Here is a 27,330-nt window from a genome sequence, read left to right as displayed (position 1 = left end):
CATGCTGCGACCTTAATGGTCAGTTTGAAGTCCTCATATGACCTATCAGCAGTACTTTTTACAGTTCATCACTTTCTCTTTGAAACACTTTTTTTGTCTTTCCCAGAGGAAACTGCTTTCCTCTGGGATGCACTTTGTCTTAGTTTTGATGCTTCTCCTTCACATTCTCCCTTGCTGAACCTTTGTCATATTTCCGAACTCTAGCCTTTGAAATGCCCAGGGCTCAATCCTCAGCCCACTTCTCTATCTATACTGCCTCTCTAGGGCAGGTGTTGGCAAAGTTTTCTGTAAAGGGCCGGATAAGGAATACTTTAGGTTTTGCGAACCATTCAGTCTCTGTCACAACTACTCAGCTCTGCCATTGTAACATACAGCCATGGACAGTAAAAGTATGACTGTGGTTATGTTCCAATAAAACTATATTTACAAAAATAAAACCAGGCCATGTGACAGATTTGGCCCATAAAGCCAGAGTTTGCTGACCATTGCTGTTGCTCTGGGTGATCCCATCAGGTCCCATAGTGTTAGACGCTGTTTATGATTCCCCAATTTATAACATTAGCCGCATCTCTTCTTGAACTCAGAATTTACACATCCAGCTTTCTACTCTGTATTTCTACCTAAATGTTTAAGATACAACTCAAGATTAACAGCACAAAACAGAACTCCTGACTCCCCACCCTCACCGAACTTGTTTCTCTCTTTAGTTGCTAACCCATAACCTGGGCATTCTTCTTGTCACCTTTTACTCTTATCCCACAGCTAACTCATTAGCATATTTTTTTGAAATGTACCAAAAGACAATTCCTTCTGTCCACTTCCACCCTTCTCACTTTCTGTTTCACCATCATCTTTCCCTTGATCAGTTGTAACCTCCTGATTCTTCACCCTGCTTCCACCCTTAGCCCTGTATAGTCTACTTTCCATACAGCAATCACCTTCATCCTTTTAAAATGTAAGTCAGATAATGTACAAGCTCTGCTGAAAATGCCAGTGGCTTTCCATTTCACTCAAAAAATTTTTTGAAATATGTACCATAGCATGTAAGGTCCTACTGGATCTAATACTGGGCTCCTCTCTGAATTCATTGCTTGCCACTTTTCCTTTTGATCAGTGTCCTCCTGCCATCCTGGCCTCCTTGCTGTTTCTCAGACATGCCATGTATGTTCTTTCCTCTGCACACCTGTGCTTTTTATGCCTTCAGTGCTCCTCCCTAGAGGTCTACTTGATCTCTTCCCTCACTTCATTCAGATCTGTGCTGAACTGTTACCCACCAGAGAGATCTTCCCTGACCATTCAATATCAAATATTACTCCTTCTGTTACAGTAGGTAGCTAGTCAGGCATGAGCAGGGCAGAAGAGGGCTCCCCTCCCTCAACACACACCAGGAATGACAGGCAAACATCAGGTGATGGTCAGGCAGTTGTTAACTGTTTCTCTAAAATATTAATTGGTTGCAGCCTGCACCAGGGAAAGGCAGTCTCCAAATAAACAGAAGCACCTGAAGCTGGTGATCAGCAGCTTCCCATGAGATCTCAGGAACTGGGTGAGTGGGCTCAAGCGTTTGCACTAAGAGGCAAAATGGCAGAGTTTGGTATGTGACCTCCTAGGGACATTCGACTGGTAAGGGAAGAACACCTCAAGTGAACACGCGTACAACTCCAGTAAACACGTTGCACATGGTCCCTTTCCCAAGTGCTGGGAGGCTACTGTGTGTGCAGACAGCCTGCCCCAAGGGAAGAATCAGGGGAGATGGGACACAAGATCCTGGAAGTATGCTAACATATAAAACCCCAAGTTGAAAGGTCAAACCGTGCATTTGTCTTTTCAAGTTGCCCACTTTGCCCTCTTCCAAGTGTACCTTCCTTCCCTTTGTTCCTGCTCTAAAGCCTTTTATTATAATAAACTGATTCCATCTGTAAAATTGCCTCAGCCTCTCCTTCTGCCTTCTGCCCCTCAGTTGAATTCTTTCTTCTGAGGAGGCAAGAATTGAGATTGTTGCAGAGCCATAGGGATTTGCCATTGGTAACGCTTCCATTATTCATTCTTCACTTTCCCTAATTTGTTTTCCTTTATCTTTATAGTGCTTATGATATGTGATAGAATAAACACATAATCATTGCTTCTGCACCCCAACTAGAATGTGATTTCCATAGGAACAGGGAATTGGAATTTGTATCTAGTATCTAGAACCATGCTTAGTACAGTGCATATATTCAAGAAATATTTACTGAATGAATTTAAGGAAAACTTAAAAATTAAATGGGAAAAACAAGAAACTTGAATTTTAGAAGGTCAAGTGGGTGTTCTCTATTACATCTGCTATAAAAAAAAGGAAGAGTTGGCTGTGAAGAAATGGCAATCAAGACCAAGACCTCTTTAGCAAATAACTTGTTAAAACAAGTAAGTCAGTAGAAGGTGTAGTGGGTTGAATGGTGTTCTGAGACACGAAGTTTGTGGTAGTTTCTTGCAGCAGTCCTAAGAAAAAGAATATAGATGAATTAGAAGATAAGGTAAATCTATCAGAAAGTAGAACAAAATGTCAGAGATAGAAAAAGGAGGCAAGAAGAAGTGACGTAGAGATTGAATCCAGAAAGTCCAACATTTGACTCATATGGGTTTCAGAAGGAAAGAACAGACAAAATGGAGAAGAAATTGTAAAAGGGATAATAGAAAAAAATCTAAGAATTGAAGGACCCAAGTTTTCTGACCCCCCCAGTCACATTATTATACAGCTATTGAGAGGATCCCACATGTCTTGCTGGGGGGTGGTCAGCTAACAGGCCTGCAACACTGAATGCTCGAAGACTGGAGTAATGCCTTTGAAATTCTGAGAGAAAAGAGTTTTCCTCCTAGAATTTTCTACCCAGCCAGCTGTCAATCTGGAGTGAGAACAGAGTAAAGACATTTTAGACATTTAACAACTTGAGAAATTGGCCTCACATGCAATCCTTCTTACAGAACACTTATTAGGGATATGCTTCTGCAAGACAAGTAAACCAAAAAAACGTGAATGCATGGGATCCAGAAAATGATAGATCTACACTGGAGAGCAAAGAAGCAGTCTTAGGATGCCCGGAAAGCATCCAGTTCATATTGCAGCCTGAGGATAGAGGGTTCCTGAAGGAGCTGTTTGGGTAAAGAGAGGATTCCATAATTTTGATGATATCCGTGAGGCATTGGAATAACTTATAGACGTGATTATGACAATGTAAGAAAGATAATTAGAAACACGAAGAAAAATAGAAGCTGAACCAAAAAAGGAAATTTAATTATAGCAGCATCCTCACCAAAAATAAACACATAGACAACGCTTCTCACACACCTGAGTGTAAGAATTATTTGGGATGTTTGCTAAAAATACAGATATTCATTTCTCCCTCCTTGAGATTTTGATTCACTAGATGTGGGATGGTGGTTCAGGGATCTGCATTTTAATGAGCATTCCAGGTTTTTCTTATCTAAGAGAAATTTTTGATATATATAATAGGAAATGCATAGAAAATTCAGTATGATTACAGAACATTCTATCAGCCTTGATATGAAAAAATAAATATGCAGAAGACAAAAATTAGAAGAATGAGGAAAGGGAGGTAAAAGTCAGGTTATTGATGTTAAGAAATACTGTATATTTGTATTAGTTTGTTTTCATGCAGCTGATAAAGACATACCTGAGACTGGGTGATTTACAAAAGAAAGAGGTTTATTGGACTTACAGTTCCACATGGCTGGGGAGGCCTCACAATCATGGCCGAAGGTGAAGGGCATGTATCATATGGTGGCAGACAAGAGAGCTAGTGCAGGGAAACTCCCCCGTATATAATCATCAGATCTCATGAGATTTACTCACTGTCACAAGAACAAGACTTGCCCCCATGATTCAATTATCTCCCACCAGGATTCCTCCCACAACATGTGGGAATTCAAGATGAGATTTGGGTGGGGACACAGCCAAACCATATCATTCTGCCCCTGGCCCCTCTCAAATCTCATGTCCTCACATTTCAAAACCAACATGCCTTCCCAACAGTCCCCCAAAGTCTTAACTCATTTCAACATTAACTCAGAAGTCCGCAGTCCACAGTCTCATCTGAGACAAGGCAAGTCCCTTCTACCTATGAGCCTGTAAAATCAAAAGCAAGTTAGTTACTTCTTAGATACAATGGGGGCACAGGTATTGGGTAAATAAAACATTCCAAATGGGAGAAATTGGCCAAAACAAAGGGGCTACAGGCCCCATACAAGTCCAGAATCCAGCAGAGCAGTCAAATATTAAAGCTCCAAATGATCTCCTTTGATTCCATGTGTCTCACACCCAGGTCACGCCGATGCAAGAGGTGGGTTCCTGTGGTCTTGGGCAGCTCTGCCCCTGTGGCTTTGCAGGGTATAGTCCCCCTCCTTGCTGCTTTCATGGGCTGGATTGAATGTCTGTGGCTTTTCTGGGTGCATGGTGGAAGCTATTGGTGGATCTACCATTTTGGGGTCTGGAGGACAGTGGCCCTCTTCTCACAGCTCCACTAGGCAGTGCCCCAATAGGGACTCTGTATGGGGGCCCCGACCTCATATTTCCCTTCCACAGTGCTCTAGCAGAGGTTCTCCATGAGGGCCCTGCCACTGCAGCAAACTTTTGCCTGGGCATCCAGGTGTTTTCATACACCTGAAATCTAGGCAGAGGTCCCAAACCTCAATTCTTGACTTCTGTGCACCCGCAGGCTCAACACCACTTGGAAGCTGCCAAGTCTTGGGGCTTCCACCCGCTGAAGCAAAAACCCAAGCTGTACCTTGGCCCCTTTTAGCCATGGCTGGACCACCTGGGACGCAAGGCACCAACTCCCTAGGCTGCACACAGCAGAGGGACCCTGAGCCCAGCGAAACCACCTTTTCCTACTAGGCCTCAGGGCCTGTGATGGGAAGGGCTGCCGTGAAGGCCTCTGACATGCGCTAGAGACATTTTCATCACTGTCTTGGGGACGAACATTTGGCTTCTTGTTACTTATGCAAATTTCTGCAGCTGGCTTGAATTTCTTCTCAAAAAATGGGATTTTCTTTTCTCTCACATTGTCAGGCCACAAATTTTCCAAACTTTTATGCTCTGAATGCTTTTAACAGCACCCAAGTCACCTATTGAATGCTTTGCTTCTTAGAAATTTCTTCCTCCACTAGATACCCTAAATCATCTCTCTCAAGTTCAAAGTTCCACAGATCTCTAGGGCAGGGGCATAATGCTGCCAGTCTCTTTGCTAAAACTGTCAAGAATCACCTTTGCTCCAGTTCCCAACAATTTCCTCATCTCCATCTGAGACCACATCAGCCTGGATTTCATTGTCCATATCATTATCAACATTTGGGTCAAAGCCACTTAACAAGTCTCTCGGGAGTTCCAGACTTTCCCACGTTTTCCTGTCTTCTTCAGAGCCCTCCAGACTGTTCCAAACTCTGCCTGTTATCCAGTTCCAAAGTTGCTTCCACTTTTTCAGTTATCTTTTCAGCAGCACCGCACTCTACTGGTACCAATTTACTGTATTAGTTTATTTTCATGCTGCTGATAAAGGCATACCCAAGACTGTGGAATTTACAAATGAAACAGGTTTATTGGATTTACAGTTTTACATGGGTAGGGAGGCCTCACTATCATGGCAGAAGGTGAAAGGCACGTCTCATATGGTGGCAGACGAGAGCTTGTGCAGGAACACTACCCCTTCTGTAATCATCAGATCTTGTGAGACTTACTATCATGAGAACAGCACAGGAAAGACTTACCCCTATGATTCAGTTACCTCCCACTGAGTCCCACCCACAACACGTGGGAATTCAAGATGAGATTTGGGTGGGGACACAGCCAAACCATATCAATATATTTGGTGGAATAAAAAGGTGTATTAACATTAGCCAATTAAGAACTTATGTAGAATAGATTGAACTAAACTATCTCTCAGAATTGGAATCAGTAGGTAATTTCTACAATTGATAAACAAAAACTACTAAATATGCTATTTAGAAAGATGAAGGTAACCACTAGGCCTAATACAAAGAGTTGAAAATGGGTTGCTCTCAGGAGTGGAACTAGACTGGGGAGAGGTAGAAACTATTATTTTTTCAGTCATGGACCTGCATTGCTTTGGCTTAACAACAGCAAAATAGATGTTTTAAAAAGCAAATTGGCAATAGCTTGTTTTCAACTGTTAAGAAACAAGCAGCCTGAGCTTCGGATAAGAAAGTTCTAACCTAAGATGTATCACTAATATATTCTGTGGTTCTGAGGAAGGGCTGTCTGATGTGTGCTTCAGTTCTACCACTTTTTTTTTTTTAACCTAGTGCTAGATAAGTTCTACTGTCTTTAAAAATAACGGCATGTGTTGCCACAGCGCTTGTTCCATATACCATATCCCTCTGTCTGTAGCGCATATGTACCATATAGATTATCTCATTCATTTTATAGAGGATCAGGATAGATACTACATATCTTTAAATCCACCTTTAGAGAATTTTAATACCCTTTAAATGGAACATAATAGCATATCAACATGATTGGCCCTGGAAAACTTTTAATGAGTTCTTATCCTTTTGCACTTTAGGGAAATGTTCAGTTTTCTAACAGTGCTGAGAGGATGCCTTTGTGTTTAAACTTACTAGGTGATGATGATGATGACAGTGATGTAACGTGTCTTGTCTTAGCTATGGGCGTGGATCACTGTGTAGCACTTGTCTATTCCAAAATCTAGTACAATTCCTTTTCATGTGAAACACTCTGTAAATACATATTGCTTAATGCAAGAAACTATTGAGAAAATTAAGCTTCAGAGAAATTGAGTGACTGTTGAGAAATAAACTAAAATTCTGAGCCCCTCAGTTGACTGAATGGGTCTCCTTTTGGCCAAGGGAACCCTAGAGAAACCTTGAAAACTGAGTTCTTGGCCACGACTGGAATGGGGAGGTCAACTATGCCTGCTTATACCCTTTCCCTCACTAACTGCCATTAAGTTTTCTTCCCTAAGGGCTAAATAGAAACCAGCCCTTTCGAAAGACTCCACAGATGCTGATACCAACCGAAAGTCTGACTGCTGCCCCTCCCTTTTGTGGTTTCCACAAAACAACTGACCAGCGTTCCCTCCTGATAAGAGTGGTTCTGGCGAATCTATGGAGAATGTGCAGTGAGGGTTTTCATGTTTTCCACTTCACCTTTCGACATCAGAGAGCTGAAAACTCCACCCTCAGATCATGCTAACACCACCGTTTTTTGAACATGGGTCCCGTGGAGAAGCATGAAGCTCAACTGAGCATGCTTGCAGGTTGCAGCCCTTTATGAGAAATAAAGCTCTGCTTTCCAAATTTATGAGCCTCATCATTCAGTTGCCATTTTTATGAAGCTGAGTAACTAGAAGTCAGGTTTTTGGCCTTTCTAGTCATTGCTCCTGTGCAAATTTATAGATATATTGCCCATTAAAGCATTATTATTATCTGAGATCTAAGGCCATATTTGTTTTCTAGAAGTAGTTATATTTTTACTCTTTTTCTTCACTATTACATTTTTATTTATTAATACTATTTCATGAAATAGCTTCTAGTAGGTATGGTTATGTAAGTTAGTAAATACAGACCATTCACTCATTTGTAATCTTTTTACCTTCCAAATGACAATTAGAAAACTATATATATATGTGATCTTACATCTTAATAAGTATTGGGCTTGTCCACAGTTAACAAGAGCATTGGATCTTTGGGGAAATTTAACACCAAATCAGTGTCCTAGATTTATTTACTCTTAATTACAAAGGCAGCCTGGCTTTTCTGTCAAGTTTCTTTTACCCCCATGATAACAAACTTCCCTTGTTTGTGTAACTTCCTGGATTCTTAGAGCTGAAATTATTGTTCATTTCTATCACAATGATAGGTCCCAAATGAACGTTGAAGTAATCTGTTAAAGGATTGTATTTTTTTTCTTTTCAGAATTCTACCTTTTTTACTTTAGTGACTTGAAGAGAGGACAATCACAGATTGATGATTGTTCTTGGAATAAGAGCTTCCATTTATACATTACAGTTGTCCCTCTGTATTTGCAGGGGATTGGTTCCAGAACCCCTTGGATACCAAAATTTGCAGATGTTCCAGTCCCTGATGTAAAATGGCGTAGTATTTACATATGACCTATGCACTCCTCCTATTTTTTTTTCCCTTATGGGTGGGGGAGGGTGGAAAGAAACCAAGAGAAAGGAACCCTCTTGTCTACTTTTAATCCTCTTTGAATTACTTACAATATCTGATGCCTTGTAATGCCATGTAAATAGTTGTTATACTGTATTGTTTTATTTGTATTATGTTTATTGTTGCATTTTTATTTTTTAAAGATTTGCAGAATATTTTCGATCTGCGATTGTTTGAATCTGCAGATGCAGAGGGCTTACTGTGTATGTCTTCTTAACCTCCTCCTAGTTGTCTTTCAGCTCCATATTTACTTATTTTTAAAATTACCTACAGTAAAATTTACTTTTTTTGTGGACACTTCTGAGTTTTGACAGAAAGTAGATTTGTGTAAACAGCATCACAAAGTACAGAACAGGTCTGTCCCTCCCCAAAAAATTTTTTGTGGCCCCCTTTAGGGTCAACCCTACTCTCTTACCATCAGCCCCTGGCAACCAACCAGTGACTGCACTTTATCCTATAGTTTTGCCTTTTCCAGTATGTTATGTAAATGGAACTGAGTTGAGCTTCTTTCGCTTGATACAGTGTATTTAGATGCATCCATTTTATTGTGTGTATCAATAGTGCATTCCTTTTTATTGTGGAATAATTAATAAACATTGATTAAAAGACCACTATATGAGTATAACATAGTTTTTCTCCATTTACCAGTTGTACATTTGCATTGTTTACAGTTTTTGGTGATTCCGAATAAAGCTGCTGTAAACATATAGAGATTTTTGGGTGAACATGTTTTTATTTCTCAGTTAAATACTTAGTGGGATTTCTGGGTCACATGCTAATTGTATGTTTAACTTTACAAGAAACAGCCAAACTGTTTTCCAGAGCAAGTGCACCATTTTCAGTTCCCATCACCATATTTTATTTTAATTGAAAACATGTAAATGTGGCCCACTTTAGTATCTATTACATTTAGAAAAGTAAATAATCATGTAAAAAATTGGTAATTTTGTTTTTTGTGTTCTTGTGTTACTCATAGATAACTTTGAAAATCGGGCAGAGAATTTGAAATCTGATGTAATATATGAAAGAGAAGTTTTTTTTAAGTGCATCCCTTTACTGATGAAAAGAGCTTTATAGACCATAGCCAAAGTTTTATGTACTTGCCATTTGTGTGCTCTTTCTCATTTTTATCCTTACGTTGTGCACACATCCTTCAGGAATTACCTTGTTGCTAGGGTGGGGAAATAAAAATTATGTTAACAGTTTAAAGGGAAAAATAAAATAGTAATAGAGACATTTATCTAACAGATATTTGCTCAGCAAGTATATATTGGATGCCTATTAAGTGCTAGGTACTTTCCCAGATGCTAGAGATCCAGTAGAAAGCATAACAGAACAAACAAAAATGAACAACTACAAAAACTCCAGAACTTAATTCTAGTGATAAGTGCTAAGGTAAAGCACAAAGCATGGTAGGGGGAAATAAAATATTGGTGGGAATTAACAATTTCATTGTTAAGTTACATGCCTTTTTTTTTTTTTTTTTTTTTTTTTTTGGAGGTGGAGTCTTGTGTCGCCAGGCTGGAGTGCAGTGGTGCGATTTCGGCTCACCGCAACCTCCGCCTCCTGGGTTGAAGCTATTCTCCTGCCTCAGCTTCCTGAGTAGCTGAGATTACAGGCATGCACCACCACGCCCAGCTAATTTTTGTATTTTTAGTACAGACGGGGTTTTGCCATGTTGGTCAGGTTGGTCTCAAACTCCTGACCTCAGGTGATCCTCCCGCCTCAGCCTCCCAAAATGCTGGAATTAGCGTGAGCCATCGTGCCCGGCCATGCCTCTGTTTTTGTTGGGCAGAATCCAGGGCTTATTTGTTGTTGTTGTTGTTTAATAAACTTCATTTTGGAATAATTTTAGATTGGGTTAAGCTGCAAAGTTAGTACAGGATTCCAGCATACTCCGCACCCCAGTTTTTCCCTAATTTTATCATCTTAACATCATTTACCATTGCCATTGTACATTTTTCAAAACTAAGAAACTAACATTGGCACATGCCCTTAACTAAACTCCAGATTTTATTTGGATTTCACTAGTTTTTCCACTAATGTCATTTTTCTGTTCCAGGATCTAGTTCAGCATACCAGACTGCATTTAGTCATCATATTTCCTTACTGTCTAACAATCTGTTACGGTTTCTCAATCTTGGATTTGTTTCTTCTCTCTCATTTATTTTATCATTTGTTTGTATTAGTGTGGATTCATGTATATTTGTTTTATATTTTGTTGCTCAAATTGTTCCAGCTTTGGCCTTTGGGGACTCTTTCAGATTGGTTCACATTTCCCTTTACCATACCTCCAGTCTTCTGATGTTTGAGCACTTGGTTGCCTTCTGACCCTACAAGATGCTCCAGGCTCATCTTGGGTATTCTTTGCTCCAGCATTAGAATCAAGCCTTTCTCCAAGGAGGCCTAGTTCCTTTTATTGGAGAATGGCATTTTGAAACCAAAATCTGGGCCAGGTGCAGTGGCTCACACCTGTAATCCCTATACTTCGGGAGGCCCAAAGTAGGTGGATTGTTTGAGCTCAGGAGTTCGAGACAAGCCTGGGCAACATAGCAAGACCCTGTCTGTACAAAAAACTTTAAACTTAGCTGGGTGTGGTGGTGCATGCCTGTAGTCCCAGCTACTCTGGAGGCTTGAGGCTTGAGACCAGGAGATTGAGGCTGCAGTGAGCCATGATCATGCCACTGCATTCCAGACCCTGTCTCAAAAAAAAAGAAGAAAGAAACCAAGATGTGGTTGCTGGTGTGCTCATTGCTATTGGGATTTAGCCAGTCTTTGTTTTATTTTGTTAAATATTCTTGAAATCTAAATTTGAAAATTATGCCAAACAGGTAGCAGGTCAGAAGTAAAACAGCCTGATTTAGGAAATTACAAAGTGAAAATTTTGTAGGGCTCTATTAAGCTTAGCTTTTGGAAACAGATGTATTCCAGTAAAAGTGCATTGTATTTATTTACAAGGCATTGTGTTTATTTAAATATTGAAAGTATTTAAAATACACATTTTGGTATACAACTTTTAAGGTAAGATAGTTTCTGTTATTGAAGTTTGTTTTTGTTCTAAGCTTACCTTAGTATTAGCATCCTTACCACATTGAATGGAAACAATATTTCTTTTCTTTTAATTGAATAGGAACTTTGGACTTTTCTTCCCATGGATAGTAGGTAGAAATTGGGAATACTATTGTTAAGTTTCCCCAAGGGAAATTGACATCAGTTTTAATAGAATTCACTTAGTAATGAGTTTCTTTTTCAAAAGTGATGTTTTTTTTTTTAATATGTATTTTGGGTTTTAGTCTATTGTAGATATTTTCTGCTTTGGATATTTTAAGCCACAGGGATAAGTAAATTATTTCAGCAACCCAAATATGGTTTAGCCGGTATATATTTCTTTTCGGTCCTTAGATGGTGGCAAGTTTTAAAAGTTGAATTAACTTTAAGTTGGGAGTTAAAGTTAGCTTTGTAAAAAATGCGTAAGTTTAAAAGTGGATAAGGATGTTTATTATTGCTGTATAGAACAATGTGTCTATTGCTTTAATTCTGTTTTGTTTTGTTTGTTTGTGTCTTTGCAGAGAATGTAACTGGTCACTACATTTCCCCCTTTCATGATATTCCTCTGAAGGTGAACTCTAAAGAGGTATTGTTTTGACTTGTTTTGGGAATGAAAACGTGTACTGCCAGTATCACCATTAGATGCTTTTTGGAAGCACCTTGAAAGGAAAAAGTGTTGTTGGAAGTCAGGAGGACAAACAGGAGTTACTATAACAGGGTCATAAGCCTCCTATATGAATTAAAAGTTGTATGAGAATAGGATTCTTCCATGAGGAATTGGGAGAAAGGGGTGTTACTGGTACATAAAACTTAGAATTCGGTAGGAAATAAAGATTTAAGGGTAGTAATTTAGGAAATTACCAAGAGGTTTATTTACAATAATCAGCTAACGTTTGTGGATTATTTTTTATTTGCTAGCCACTATGTGAACATGATGTTATTTAATTGTTATGAGTTGCTATTTTTCTTTCCAAGGACACTGAGGCTCAAGGCATTTTTATAGACTTGTCTAAGATCTGGTAAGTGCCAGAGCTAGTTTTGGAATTAGCTTCTGACCACAAAGCTTATGCTCTTTAACCACTCTATGAAACAGGTGTTAGAGAAATAAAGCAGGGGTAAAAATGGTGGTGTTTGAATAGCTGTTCTCTTAGAACTGAAAATCACTTGACAGTTGTCAGGGTGTGAAAGATGCCAGGAGAACTGATGCTATCAAATCAAAATTGTTGGGGTGTTTCGAGATCTCTCATGATTAGTTGGTAATATGGCATATTTGGTAGTATTCATGATCATCATTAAGTTGTAGGTTATTTCCTTAAAATCCAAGTAGTGAATTACCAAATTTTTAAGGGGGTACAACTATTAAGTAAATAACCAGGACCACATTCCATGTTGAAATTATATGTAACTCGTTAATTTGGGGTTGGGTTTTCTAGGATGTGGGGTGATCAATATAGGGGCAGAGGCCACTGAAGAACTGAGGAGGCTACTTCAGATGCAAGGGTTGTTTGACCCTGGTGTTACCTCAGAGGCTGAATATTATGCATCATAGTGAGGTTATGGGATGTGAAGTAGGATTTGTGCTGCTTCCCAGCTCTTCAGAATAAGGAACTGGCAGTAGAATAATATCAATAATTTATCAAGTGCTTGTGGTACTTAGCCAGCACTGTGTTCCCTGCTTGATATGGTTTATCTCAATCCTTCTGGCTTTACATTTAGTACCCTTATTTTGTTAACGAGGCTAAGTACCTTGTCCATCATCACAAATCTCGTGTGTTTTGGAGGTGGGATTGGATTTAGGTGCTCTAACTCCAGAGTTTGTACTCCTCACTTCTCTTGTGTAATGCCTCCAGCTCATTACTTTTAAGTGTGCAGCTCCAGGACAATAGAAGGAAACCAGAGGCAAAAGGAACTCTATGTTACTGTGTGTGTCCATGCGAGTGTGTGAAAGTGCGTGTGTATATGTGTTCCTGTGTTTTGTTTTGGCCACTGAACTTTCAAACCTAAATATCTCATGTCTCCCAACACTTTTCTTTGCTTTTGGCTAAAAGTGCATGCATTCACTTATTCATTAATTTATTCATTCAATCAATAGTCATTGAATGCTTATTATGAGCCAGGCACTGTTCTAGGCACTGTGGGTGTAGTAGTGAATAAGATAGGTATAGTCCACTCAATTGGAGGAGTCAACCATAAAACAAGTCAGTCAGATAATGTTAAGTGCTATAAAAATACAACAGGGAAAGGAAAGATAAAATGTGACTGGTGGGTAGTGTTGTCAGGGGTATGCTATAGCAAAATCTGTATACCTCATCATAACAACAATAATAATAAAGCTGTATTTTTGAGAGTCGTGTAGTAGATAGAGGTAGAGGTGGAAAAGAGTAAGCTAGAAACATGTCAGTGAGAATAACATTTTGTCTAAGGAGGATGGGTTTTGGGAAATGTGAAATTAGAGATTAGGCAAAATTGATGATAGGGCCAGCAAATACAACAGGATATGCCAGTGAATTCTGGAGATATGGAAATGGATACGCATGGTGGTTGTGTAAATAGGTTTCCCTAGATCTCAGCCAGTAATGATTAAAACTCGTGCTTTGTACTTTGGGATGTGGTATATTAAGAATAAAAATAATGGCTGGGTGCGGTGGCTCTTGCCTGTAATCCCAGCACTTTGGGAGGCCAAGGCAGGCGGATCATGAGGTCAGGAGATCAAGACCATCCTGGCTAACACGGTTGAAACCCTGTCTCTACTAAAAATACAAAAAAAAATTAGCCAGGCCTGGTAGCGGGCGCCTGTAGTCCCAGCTACTCGGGAGGCTGAGGCAGGAGAATGGCGTGAACCCAGGAGGCAGAGCTTGCAGTGAGCCAAGATTGCGCCACTGCACTCCACCAGCCTGGGCGACAGAGCGAGACTCTGTCTCAAAAACAACAACAACAACAACAACAACAACAACAACAACAACAGCAGCAGCAAAAACAAAAATAATGTTTCAGAGCTGATTTGGAAAAATGATTTTGTTTGTTTTGTTTTCTTCATTAGTAGTCATTTTGGTGTATAAACGTTACATATGCTGGTTGAGCATTTGTGAATGGCATAATTTTTCTTCCCAACCCACCACGAAGTCAGTTTTAATTTAAAAGTGCTTGGTTTAATGGGAAAAGAAAAAAGAAAAAAAGTGCTTGGTGGAGGCCTAGTAATCACACCTTGGTAGAATTCACAGGCAGGAGGTGCAGCTGAGTACTTTCACAGCTTGTTAGTCATGCTCCCTGGAGCTTCATTTCAATAATGAAATGACTGTTTTAAGCATAATCACTGGAAACTACCAGTCTTTTCTTAAAGACTGAACAGAGCCTTTGCTTACTTTATAAAAACTGGGAAAATATACGTGAAAGAGGTTTGGCTTTTCTGATCATTTATTTTATGAAACACTTTGATGCTCTATTCTGGGGATACAAATGCTCAGGGGAGAACGAAGTGGGCATTTGGTAGGTTCTCTGTTGACTCAGATTTCTGGACAGTCTTTGTGTAGAATGTCTATACAATAGTCATATTTTTATTGCTATGCAGTGCCACTGTATACTTTCATGAAATATTGCAGTCTTTCACCATCTTTTCTTTTATAGGAAAATGGCATTCCTATGAAGAAAGCACGAAATGATGAATATGAGGTATATCCAAAGGTTTTTATTTTTGTGAATCACTTTTATATTGTCTGTTAAATACCTTGATGATAGTTTGCATTTGTAAAATGATTCTAAGGTTTTTACCCCTGCAAGACTTTCATGTGCATTCCGATGTTTTTCTTTAAGGCAGCTAGGGCAGCTATTGCCATTTAACTTTTTTTATTGTGGTAAAATATTCATAACATAAGGTTTACCATTTTAACTTTTTTAAAGTACAATTTAGTGGCATTAAGTTCTTTCACATTGTTGTGGAATCCTCATCACCATCCATCTCCAGAACTTTTTCACCATCCCAAGCTGAAACTCTACACGTTGAGCAACTTCTCATTTCCTCCCTCCCCCGAGGCCCTGGGAAGCACTATTCTACTTTCTGTCTTATGAATTTGACTGTTGCAGGTATTTCATTTCCACTTCATTTTACAATGGGAAAACCTGAGAGAATTAGCACAGGAACCCAGATTTTAATAATAAGTTAATTATCTTGGTAGATGGTCTAAAGTAAATGTACTTCATTATAAATGAAATATTTCACTTTAAATTATAAGAGAGAAGATGGTTTGAGAGGCTGTTTTAGAACCCAGGAACAATAATCTTTTGGGAGTAGAGGAGAAGAAAAACACTTATACCAACCGTATGCTAAAATGAATATATTCTAAATATATATATTCTAAATGTATGCTAAAATGAATATATTCTAAATATATATATTCTAAATATATCTAAACAAATATATGTGGCTGTCAAACCTTTAATAGTTCTTGACTTAGGACCAGAACATTTGATTGATGTCTGTCATTCCATCTCCTGCTACAAGTGTCCTTTTATCCCTCTGATTCTGATGCCAGGCAGCTTTTCCTGCTGCTTTCCTGTCTCCTTTTACCTTTCCAGCTTCATTTCCATTTATTCTCTACCCCAACTGAAACTTACAGCTCCAGCATTTGAATCTACTTCCAAACATACCTGTGGGGGCCTTTAAATTCCTACAACCTTTGCCTGCTATCTGTCTTCTATTTTTCTAAGCTGGTGTGATTCTTGAACCATCTACACTGGAACCACTTAGAGTGCTTGTTAAAAATTCAGATTCCGTGCCCCATCTCCTATTTACTAAGTCAGATTCTCCGCTGGATAGGGCCTGGTTAATCTAGGTATTTCACAAGTATTCTAGGTGCATCCTAAACGTGAAGTTTGAGAACCACTGCCCTAGATGTTGAGTGAACAAGGGTTTCCAGATCCCCAGGGGACTTAGTGTATTAACCTGAAACAGTTATTTCAGGTTAATGAAATACATTAGTGGGAAAAACATATTCTGAGCCCAGACATTCAAATTAAAATTTAATTCTTAGAACACAGTTTTTATGTTAGAGACTGTCTGATTTGAGTTTATTTGAAATTTTCAGGATTAGAGAGGAAAGAAGAGTGATTTCTTCCTGTCTTTTCCCCATGTATATAAAATGTACTGACTGCTTTTTCATACATCTTATTAGTTTTTCTATTTTGACTTCTGCAACAAAAATACAAGGAAAAAAATGGAGAGAAAGAAAAGGACTGAAGGAGTAGTTCACAGTCCTTGCCACATACACAACTTTCTGGTTTGACTTGTGCTCCTTTTATCTTTTTTATTTTCAGATAAAATTTGGCAGACCATTGTTGGTTTATAATTAACATTAATCTTAGGAAAACCAGGCTAACATTGGCTTTAAAAAATTAATTACAGGACAAATGCATCTTAGCTGGAGAGAAGAAAGGCAGGTTGGAAATAAGCTCTTAGTGATTACGAGCAAATGAAGAGGGAGAATGTGGTTTGCAGGCTTAAAATTCAAACCTCATTTATTGTTCATTTGGCCTAATTCAAGTATCTGTGAGTGGTTTTGGTAGGTGTTATTGTGTAAAACGATTGTCACCAGCTTGGTCTTCTTGGTCACCTCTGAGTATTCATCTGCAAGCATTTGTTCCCGTATAGCCAGGCTTTCAGGGATGAATAAATTATGTGGACATCTGCCATTTACTTTGGTTTTTCTTTTTAACAGCTACTTCAGACATATTTAAACAGGTGCAGGGGTACCTCATGAAAGAGCATAGAAAATGAAACATAACAGCAGGACTGTATGTAAGGTTGCTAAGATAGGTATGAGACATACTTCTAAGGAGCAGCTATTGAGAATTTATTCTCAGCTTTGTTGTTTATCTCATTATGGGCTTGCAGCTTTGCCATTTGTAACCTTTAGTCTTATGTAGAAAAACTTAATATAAATCATCATTACTTTTATGGCTCAATATCTATCTACATTTAATTGTGTAAATAGCATTCTTTGAAATAACAGCATTCCATGTTACACTAGAAAACCTCTGTGATACTCTTCAGCAATGCTTTAGTCCAGCTTTGGCTGCATATTAAAATTGCTTGGAGAGCCTATAAAAATAAGCAGTGCCCTGGCTCCACCCAGAGCAATTTAATTCAGATAGATGAGAGACGGGGCTCTGGGAAACTTTCTTTTTTTTAATTGGTTGAAGCTGGTGAGGTGGTATTGATGTGTGGCATGATCGAAAATAAGTATGTTAAATCACTTCTCAAATGATTTGGGATGAAAGACTAGTTTTTTGGCTGGTTTATTTCTAATTGGTTGTAAACAGATACTTAAAAAAAATGCAATCAACATGAATCGTTAGAAAAGTGTTGGCAGGGCGCGGTGGCTCACGCCTGTAATCCCAGCACTTTGGGAGGCCGAGGTGGGCGGATCACGAGGTCAGGAGATCGAGACCATCCTGGCTAACACAGTGAAACCCTGTCTCTACTAAAAATACAAAAAATTAGCCGGAAGTGGTGGCGGGTGCCTGTAGTCCCAGCTACTCGGGAGGCCGAGGCAGGAGAATGGCGTGAACCCGGGAGGCGGATCTTGCAGTGAGCCGAGATTGCGCCACTGCGCTCCAGCCTGGGCGACAAAGCGAGACTCCGTCTCAAAAAAAAAAAAAAAAAAAAAAAAGAATTCCAGACCAGCCTGGCCAGCATAGTGAAACCCTGTCTCTACTAAGAATACAAAAATTAGCAGGCGTGCTGGCGGGCACCTGTAATCCCAGCTGCTCGGGAGGCTGAGGCAGGAGAATTGCTTGAACCCAGGAGGTGGAGGTTGCAGTGAGCCGAGATCATGCTGCTGCACTCCAGCCTGGGTGACAGAGTAAGACTCCGTCTTGGGAGAAAAAAAAAAAAAAGGAAAGTGTAATTCAGATTCCAATTTTTTATTATTAGATTTAACAGATATAAAAATTGCTCTTTTAAATTGCTACAAATGTTTGTAAATGAGCCAGTAACAATCGGTTTGCAGACTGGCCCTGGTCTTTGGCTACACTTGGAGTACAGTGTTTTAAACCATCGTTGTTTCCTTGATAAATTGTTAGTTATTGATGTCAAAATGTGTGCAAATCAACTTTAACCTTAAGACTTTCTCTTTGTAAGGCAAACTGTAGGGAATTATTTTTACTCATCATTGACCTAGGGTCTCCTTTGGTTTATGCATTCTACAAAGTTCAGAAATTAAAAAAAAAAAGTGAAGCCATAGTGAGTTTGTAACTTTAGGGAGTCTGAACTCACCAGATATGCAAGCTAAGTCTGGAATATTTAGTGTAGCTCTTTGTGAACTCTGTAATAGCTGTACTTACATCCTGAATTTTACACTGTGATTGTAACTTGGATTTAATTATTATTTTATCATTTTAAAATATATTTTACTTCATAATTTTCTGTATATTGTCATTGATCTTTGTAACAACCTCATGTGGTGAGTGGGACAGAGATGATCACACTTACTTTACAGATTGGAAAAGTGAGACTGAATCCTTACATGAGGGACTGGTTCTCTCACTTCTATTTTAGTTGGAAAATAAAAATTGAAACACATTTCTTGACTCCATTCTAGTTTTGTCACTACTCATCAAAGATATTCTCAGACTCGTAACCTCTGACACTGTGTGTAAGTGCTCAAGTGACATGGTGGCCTAAATTTGGCTGTGTTTTAGACAACTCTAATTTCTAGAAAAAATTTAAGGCATAGGTAGATGTATGATGGAGACTCAACATTTTTTTTGTCGGGGGAAAACATCTAAGGTATTCTTATAAGGGAGGTAACGGAAAAAATAAAAGGTAAAATTTTTAATGTTCTCTCTTTGTTTTGTTTTTAACTGCAGAATCTGTTTAATATGATTGTAGAAATACCTCGGTGGACAAATGCTAAAATGGAGGTACCGATATACTTTATTAATATGAAACCGAAATGATTATAATGATATAAAACTTTGTTGCAAGTTGTTTGGCATAATATTTTAAATTTTTTTTTTTTTTTTTTTTTTTTTTTTTTTTTTTTTTTTTTTTTTTGAGACGGAGTCTCGCTCTGTCGCCCAGGCTGGAGTGCAGTGGCGGGATCTCGGCTCACTGCAAGCTCCGCCTCCCGGGTTCACGCCATTCTCCTGCCTCAGCCTCCCAAGTAGCTAGGACTACAGGCGCCCGCCACTACGCCCGGCTATTTTTTGTAGTTTTAGTAGAGACGGGGTTTCACCGTTTTAGCCGGGATGGTCTCGATCTCCTGACCTCGTGATCCGCCCGCCTCGGCCTCCCAAAGTGCTGGGATTACAGGCGTGAGCCACCGCGCCCGGCCAATATTTTAAATTTGAGATAGTTCAGAAAAATACTCAAAGCTAAGTATATACGTTATAGTTTTATAGAGAGTTTTTTTTTCAATTTTGCCTGTCAGTTTGTTATATACATATTAATTTTCTTTTTTTCTCCTTTGAAAATGGCAAATACTTTTAAAGGTTGTTTAAGTAGATTCTGAGATATATTTGGTTCATAGATGGAACTGAAACTTTTATTTGGGGCTGATGGCAATTTTAATTTATTAGGACTCAATTCTCCTTTAGATTTTATTCTACCAGGAAATAAATCATTTCCTGGTTAACTCAATTTATGACTATCACAGAGCATCTGCTATTTTTCTGGTTAGCTTTTTTTTTTTTTTTAAATTTTTCCGGGAAATGAACCTATAAGAACTTCCTTTTTGCTATTCAGAATTTTCTTGTTCTTTCTTCAGTTAGCTATAGAAGCTTATATATAAGCTTCCTTATAGTTCTAAGTGAAATTTAATTTACGTTACTTTGTTTAGTTATATAAACCTTCTATAACTTTGGGTGTGATAGCAAATATTATTTTAAGTATTTAAATTAGGCATTATTATGTAGGTGTATATTTTTCAGAATTTATATTTGGAAGAGAATTGTCAGTACTATCACCAGGTCCTGGCAGTATTTTTTGTTAACACTTTAGTAGGAAAAGGTAAAGATATTAGATTATTCTTTTGGTGTTGTTTCATGTATAATGTTTCATCATTCTTGCTAGTCTACCTCAGTTAGGTGGAGGATGCAAGGATCTATGAGAATCTACCTAACTTAAGCAGTGTTTCTTCATTCAACATGGCTTATTTTTTTGTTTCCTATATACATAGGTTTTAAAGATAGCAATGTGAATATACATGATAGAAAACTAACTTTGAGGCCGAGTGCAGTGGCTAACACCTGTAATCCCAGCCCATTGAGAAACCAAGGCGGGCAGATCACTTGAGGCCAGGAGTTTGAGACCAGCCTGGCCAACATGGCAAAACCCCATCTCTACTAAATATACAAAAATTAGCTGGGCACAAATTTTTGCATGGTGGTGCATGTCTGTAATCCCAGCTATTTAGGAGACTGAGGCATGAGATTTGCTTGCTTCCAGGAGGCAGAGGTTGCAGTGAGCTGAGATCACACCACTGCACTCCAGCCTGGGTGACAGAATGAAACTCTGTCTCAAAAAAAAAAAAAAAGAAAAAAGAAAACTAACTTTGAAATAAAATCAGTTGGTGAGAATCTCTTTTTTGGTGATTTTTTAACTTTATTGTATATTGACAAGTTATAATCGTATATATTTATAGGGTACAAAGTGACATTATGACTTATGAATACAGTATGGAATAACTTAAGCTAAATAATATATCTGTCACATCAAATACTTACCATTTTTTGTGGTGAGAACATTTGAAATTTACTCTTAGCAATTTTGAAATGTACGTTATTAACTATACTCATCAAGTTGTGTTGTCTCAACAATAAAACATCTTATTCTTCATGTCTGAGATTTTGTATCCTTTGACTATCATTTCCCTATTCCCCCTACCCTTAGCCTCTGTAACTATAATTCCACTCTCTGCTTTTATGAGTTCAATTTTTTAGATTCCACATATAGGTGAGAACATGAGATATTTGTCTTTCTGTGCCTGGCTTATTTCACTTGCCATAATGTTCTCCAGTTTCATCCATGTTGCCACAAATGACAGAATGTTCTGCTTTTTTTAAGGCCAAGTGCTATTTTATTATGTATATATACCACATTTTCTTTATCCATTAATCTGTTGATGGACACTTAGGTTGATTATATATTATTTCCAATGTTTTTTGATGGAGTCTCTAGAGTTGTCTATATATAAGATCATATCATCAGCAAACAGTGACAGTTTCACTTCTTTCTTTCCTACTTTGGATGCCTTTTACTGTTTTCTCTTGCCTAATTGCTCTGGCTAGGATGTCCAATACTATGTTGAATAAAAGTGGCAAAAGTGGGCATCCTTTTCTTTTTCCAAATCTTAGAGGAAAGGCTTTCAGCATTTCACTATTGAATATATGGTAGGAATCTTTGAGTTAGTTTTATTATCATAATATTGATGATAATAAAGCCTGAGATTAGTAACAAAAGGCAAGTTGATTAATCTTTATCCTCTTGCCATCTCAATCATTTTATTATTTGTGTTAGAAATAATGGAGTACATAAATAATAGAGTGACTAAATATATGATCTGGTGTTTCCTTTCCAAACAATTTTTCTCATATAGTGCTATAAATTAGTAATAAGAGCTGGCTTAATTTCTTTTAAAGCATCTTTGATCATTAAGTTGAAATATGAATGTTTAGTCTGAAAATAGCAGATTTTTAAAAGTACTATTTGGACATAGAATTAATTATTTCTTATCCCATCTCCTTTTCTTCCTTCTGTGATTTGCTTAGATTGCCACCAAGGAGCCAATGAATCCCATTAAACAATATGTAAAGGATGGAAAGCTACGCTATGTGGCGAATATCTTCCCTTACAAGGGTTATATATGGAATTATGGTACCCTCCCTCAGGTAACATTTTTGTTACAATGGTAAAATGTTCCTGTCTTCTGAAAAAATTGCCTTATAAATCCTGTGAACTACTGAATTTAAATTGGTTCTGAGGACATGTCATTTGGAGAGGTTTGTAAATTTGGAATTTATTAACGTGGATGGAGTTTTAGTATATCAATAAATTTTGTTTTAAACCATATATATGTCTATACTCAAGTTCTTGGAGTCAGGCATATGGAATGTTCACATTTGACATTTTGAATACATTTTTTTTTTTCTGGTCTTGCCTATTAAGTGTCAGTGAAAAACTTTTAAGCGAGGCTTTATCTACAGTCATTCCTTTGAACATGACAAGTTATGCTTTTATACACATTCATATATGATAGCACAAATTTTATATTTTAAACTTTAACAGATGAATGTGTTAAATTATTAACTTTTTCCTGGAACTCATTGTAAATTGAATTGCACAACTTATTTACTGTTATGAGTTAATAATTTTTAAGTAGAAAGCAGAGAAAACAAGAGCTAAATAATGATAAGGTAGCATTCCTGTTGGAGAATAACAACTATTTGCTTTTCTTCCTTTCTTTACCTCTTTTGGTTTTCTCTCATGTTTCCTCATTCCCAGGAAGAGGTAACTCTTCCAGATTATTTAGTGAGTAAAACTCAGAATATGCTGAATCAAAATTCTAGGTTTTGGGGACACAGAGAACCATCTGCCTTTATGTTTATAAAAACCATAGACCATCTGTCTGGAAATTTAATTTTTATATTTTTATTTATTTTAATATTTTGCATGAAATTTCAAGATGGTATTGGGGAAATATCTGAGAAGAGAGGTCTTGTTTTATCCAACATGAAAAAGCAGCTGCCCGTGTAGAATAAACATTCACAGGAAAATTTAAAAAAAAATTGTTTTCTAAAGAGTCAGGCTGTCTCTGATTCAGTTAGATCACCCACATGGATACATTCTTGGTTAAAATGGGCACTTCTAAAGTGATATGCTAAGAATGAGAATGCCTGTGGAAACCATGAAAGCAGGTTTTCTAACTCTCCAGGTACTTAAATAGGTATGCTGTTTGACCCAACAGCAAAAGGTTGAAAAAGTTCTGTAAAGCTTAGGGGATGCAGCCTGTAGGAAATGTGTGGATGAGGGTAATGCTGAAGAAGCCAATGAATTAGAGACAGACAAAAACAGAGACGTAAGTAGAGGAGCTAGAGAATAAACTAAGGTGCATGTATTTATTTCTTTAAACATTTATTAAGGATTTATGTGCTAGGCAGGATATTAGGTGTTGGGTATATAAAGACAGATGGGATATAGATGTGACATCAAGGCCTCATAATAAGTGACTGGAAAATGTGGGTTTGGGAGTGAGATTGTCACTTTCTAGTAATGTGACCTTGGGCCTTGGGAAAGATACTTTTCCTCATTTTCTTCATCTGTAAAATGGAGAACATAAAATATCTACTTCTTATCTTTGTGTTGAGATTAAATGAGTTACTGCATTTGAATAGTGTGTAACATGTAGTAATCAATTATTGTTATAATTAAGACTGGTACTTTTATTATCGTATGGTTCTTTCCCTAAAGTTGTTTTTAGTCTGATTGGGGCAATCAAGAACTAAACTGCTGGTTATGATGTGGTATAATAGGCACTACTAATTCATCTACTAATTTAAAATTATGAAAAAAATAAAAAAGCAAACCTATTGACAGGAAAGAGAGAAGGGGAGGAACGGAGGTAAAAACAAAAGAAGCTTCTGTAGTTTTCCATTTAAAGTCCTGCCAAACTTCTGTGCTCCTCTGGATGTGTCTGGATTTCCAGATGTTCTGCAGTGGTATTAATCTGGCAGGTACGGTAGTTCTTCTACTAATAAAACAGAATTAGACTGTGGTAGTCCCTTAATTCATTATTCACCCTGCATTCACCATTGCCTACCTAAGTTTCATACTCCATCCAATATCCAAATTGATATTTTTAAAACACAAATTTGCAGATGCTTTTCTTGTACAAGAACACCTTAATGGTCTCCTGTTGCTTAAAAGATAAAATACAAAATTCTTAACATTGCTACTCAACCCTGTGTGATCTGGCCTCCGCTTACTTCTCTATCCTCATTTTGCAGCATTCCCCCTTTCTCACGTCTATCCACCACAAAGTCTTCTTCAGTGTTTCTAACTTACCTCATTGTGTCCTCACCAGGCCTTCACCAAACTGTTCATTCATTCAGTACATATTTATTAAAGGCCTGTATATTTGCAAGGTGTTCTTGTAAGTACTGCAGGTAAAGCAGTGATAAAAAGTGACAGATATTTCTCTGGAGCTTTTATTTTAGTCAGATAAACAGACAATAAACAAAATAAACCCCAAGTAAAATGTCAGGTGGTGGTAAGTATGTCAAAGAAAAGTTAAGCAGGGAATGGGACTAGGGGATATTAGGATTGTTGCAATTTAGACAGGGAGACGATCTCAGTGAAAAGGTGTTATTTGAGTAAAGATCTAAAGGAAGTGAGGGAACAAGTAGTGTGGACATCTAGAGGAAGAGCAGTCCAACAAGAAACAGCAAGTATAAAGGTCCTGAGGTGGAAATAGGCCTAGCATGTGTGAGTATCAAAAAGGAAGCCAGTGTGGCTAGAATGGAAGTGAAAGAGGAAATAGACCTGCATTCTGTCTGCCATTTTCAATTAGAGATCTGTACTACTTTTTTAAACCTGACTGATCTTGGAGAGAGAGAGAGAAAAAGAGAGAGAGAGTCTGTGTGTGTGTGTGTGTGTGTGTGTGTGTGTGTGTGTGTGTGTGTGAATACACCATAAATTGCATATAAGTTAGTTATTTATCAAAGAAAATAACTAAATTGAATGATGTTTTTAAGAATGCTGAAATCATGCCAATTGCTTATGGGATAGCTTATGGAATAGCTCTACCTGATTTTTTTTTTTTTTTTTTTTCTGCTTGATGGTTGATGTTCAGACATGACCCTGTTAAAATGAAAGCCAGCCCCTGGTCCCATTTATCTTTTTAATCTCATCTCCAACTCTCCTTCTGCCTTCTGCTTCTTCACTTCCACACTGGCACTCTGGTGCTCAAAGCACACTGATGTCTCAAGCCCTCACCTTCACTGTGTCCTTTCCTGGGAACACTCCTTTCCAGGTATGCACATGGCTTCCTTAGGTTGCCTTTAACTCATCTTCTTCATAGTATCTGCCAATCATCCTTTAAAACTTTTAACCCTACTCCCATTCCCCCTCTCATACTTTATTTCCCTTTTCTATAACACCTGCCAAATTGTAACCTGCTGTATAATTTATTTATTATGTTTATTGTTAATTTCTCCCAGCTAGAATGCAGACTTCATGAGGGCAGGTATTCTGTCTCTTTTGTTCACTGATACATTCTGACTACCCAGCTTAATGCCTGCCATGGAGTAGGTGATCAATAACTGTGAAATGAATAAATTAATGCATTGTGTATGTGTGTCACATTTGTTTCATAGGCGTGTGTGGATACTTTAGCTGTTCTATGATTCGTCTTGTAACAGCAAGAAACTTGTTCAGAGCAGTTACTGAGCCAACTGTGTACTTAGAAGAACATTTAAGCAGCAGAATACTGTTTAAGTAGTAGTCTATCCACTTAGCTTGTGATTCATCAGTATACCATCATTATTCAGACCTTCAGCTGTCTAGACCGTTAGCCTGAATAGCATCTCCCGCACTCCTAATAATGCCTTCCTCAAAGTTTGAGCTTCCCTGGGCAAAAATTCATCTCGTCTTCCCACCAGTTTATTCATATTGCCCACATGTAATGGGTTATTTCAGTGTTACATCTCATTGAGTGAATATTTAGAATACCTGTCTGGAAAATATTAAAAGACTAGATTCAGTTTAAATTCAAAATTTCTTCAGTCTTAATGTAGTATTGATATGTTTATTTTGTGCTTAATTATAAATTTGGTTCATTGACCTCCCCAATCAAATATATAGTCCTACTTATTAGCTTTATAACCTGAGACAAGTGACTAAATCTCTCTAGGCCTGTTTGTTTATCTGTATGATCATACTACCTACCCTACAAGGTTATTGTGAGTATTGAATGAGTTGATCAGAGGTGTTTGGCCCCATAGTGAGTTCTTAATAATATTAACTCAATGATGATGATTGCTACTGATGTTAGCTACTAGTAGTAAAAACACTGGTAGAGGCTTTTGCTCCAAATTAAAGCTGGGAAAGCATAGGTGATGGCTCATCCCTGTAATTCCAGTTCTTTGGGAGCCCAAGACAAGAGGATCAGTTGAGGCCAGGAGTTTAAGGTTGCAGTGAGCTATGGTCACACCACTGTTCTTCAGCCTGGGTGGCAGAGTGAAACCCTCTCTTAAAAAAAAAAAAAAAAGTGATGGTAGTGGGAAAGTCAAAGGTCTTCCTTCGACTTGTGATAGGAATGCTGGTTAATCAGGAAGATATTCTTAAGAACCACCTGTATATATGGCTTTGTATGATTCAGGGATTTTTTAAGAGACCTAAGGACCAGAGTGTGGTGATTAGAAATGTATTGGCCATTACTTATAGATTGTAAGGTAATAATCACAAACACCTGCATGAAAATGAGAAGGATTTGTTTTAGGGTATAACAATAATATGTGTATTCTGATTTATTCATTTTTATAGCTTTATAATCATCTTTTCTATAATACTGTTTTCCTGTTGATAGGTTGTTTGTAGCTTTCTTGGGTCCATGCTAAAGTTTTCTGTATAGATAGTAAATATACTTATATACCTGTTAGTCAAATTTTGAGTTGTATAACTATTCTATAGATAGTATATATACTTATATACCTGTTAGTCAAATTATGAGTTGTATAACTATTTTACTTTACTAAGTATTTCCAGATTGTTATAAAAGAAGTTGTGACAATTTATACTCCTGCCAGCAGTATATAGGGTTCCAGTACCGTATATCCTTACTAATATTTTAGATTATAAGATTTTTAGGTTTTTGAAATAGTATCTTATTGTGATTTTAACTAGTATTTTTCTGATCAGACTAGGTATCTTTTCTTAATTTATAAGTCATTCATGTTTCCCCTTCTTTTAATTACCTGTTCATATCTTCAACCCATTTTAGTTGGGTTGCCCTTTTTCTTATTTAGTTGCCAAAACTATTTCTAAAGTCTGGAAGCTAATCTTTTGTCATTTTTGTGAAACCAATATTA

General features: G+C 37.7%; 1 protein-coding gene across 4 annotated transcripts in view; it reads left to right on the top strand.

The window, feature by feature from the left end:
- Positions 1-27,330, top strand: part of PPA2 (inorganic pyrophosphatase 2) — a 104,994-nt gene that overhangs the window by 5,554 nt on the left and 72,110 nt on the right. For 2 of the 4 annotated variants that reach the window (NM_006903.4, NM_176869.3), the window contains exons 2-5: positions 11,772-11,836; positions 14,875-14,919; positions 19,114-19,167; positions 22,015-22,134. The exons of 1 other annotated variant lie outside the window; for it this stretch is intronic. In NM_006903.4, the coding sequence (NP_008834.3) occupies positions 11,772-11,836; positions 14,875-14,919; positions 19,114-19,167; positions 22,015-22,134 (284 nt within the window). The remainder of the gene's footprint in view (positions 1-11,771; positions 11,837-14,874; positions 14,920-19,113; positions 19,168-22,014; positions 22,135-27,330) is intronic. One more of the 4 variants, NM_176866.2, reaches the window with a different exon arrangement.

Source organism: Homo sapiens, chromosome 4, assembly GCF_000001405.40.
Source record: "Homo sapiens chromosome 4, GRCh38.p14 Primary Assembly".
Lineage (NCBI taxonomy): Eukaryota > Metazoa > Chordata > Mammalia > Primates > Hominidae > Homo > Homo sapiens.
Note: the sequence above shows the minus strand (reverse complement) of the source record. Positions and strands in the feature narration are given on the sequence as shown.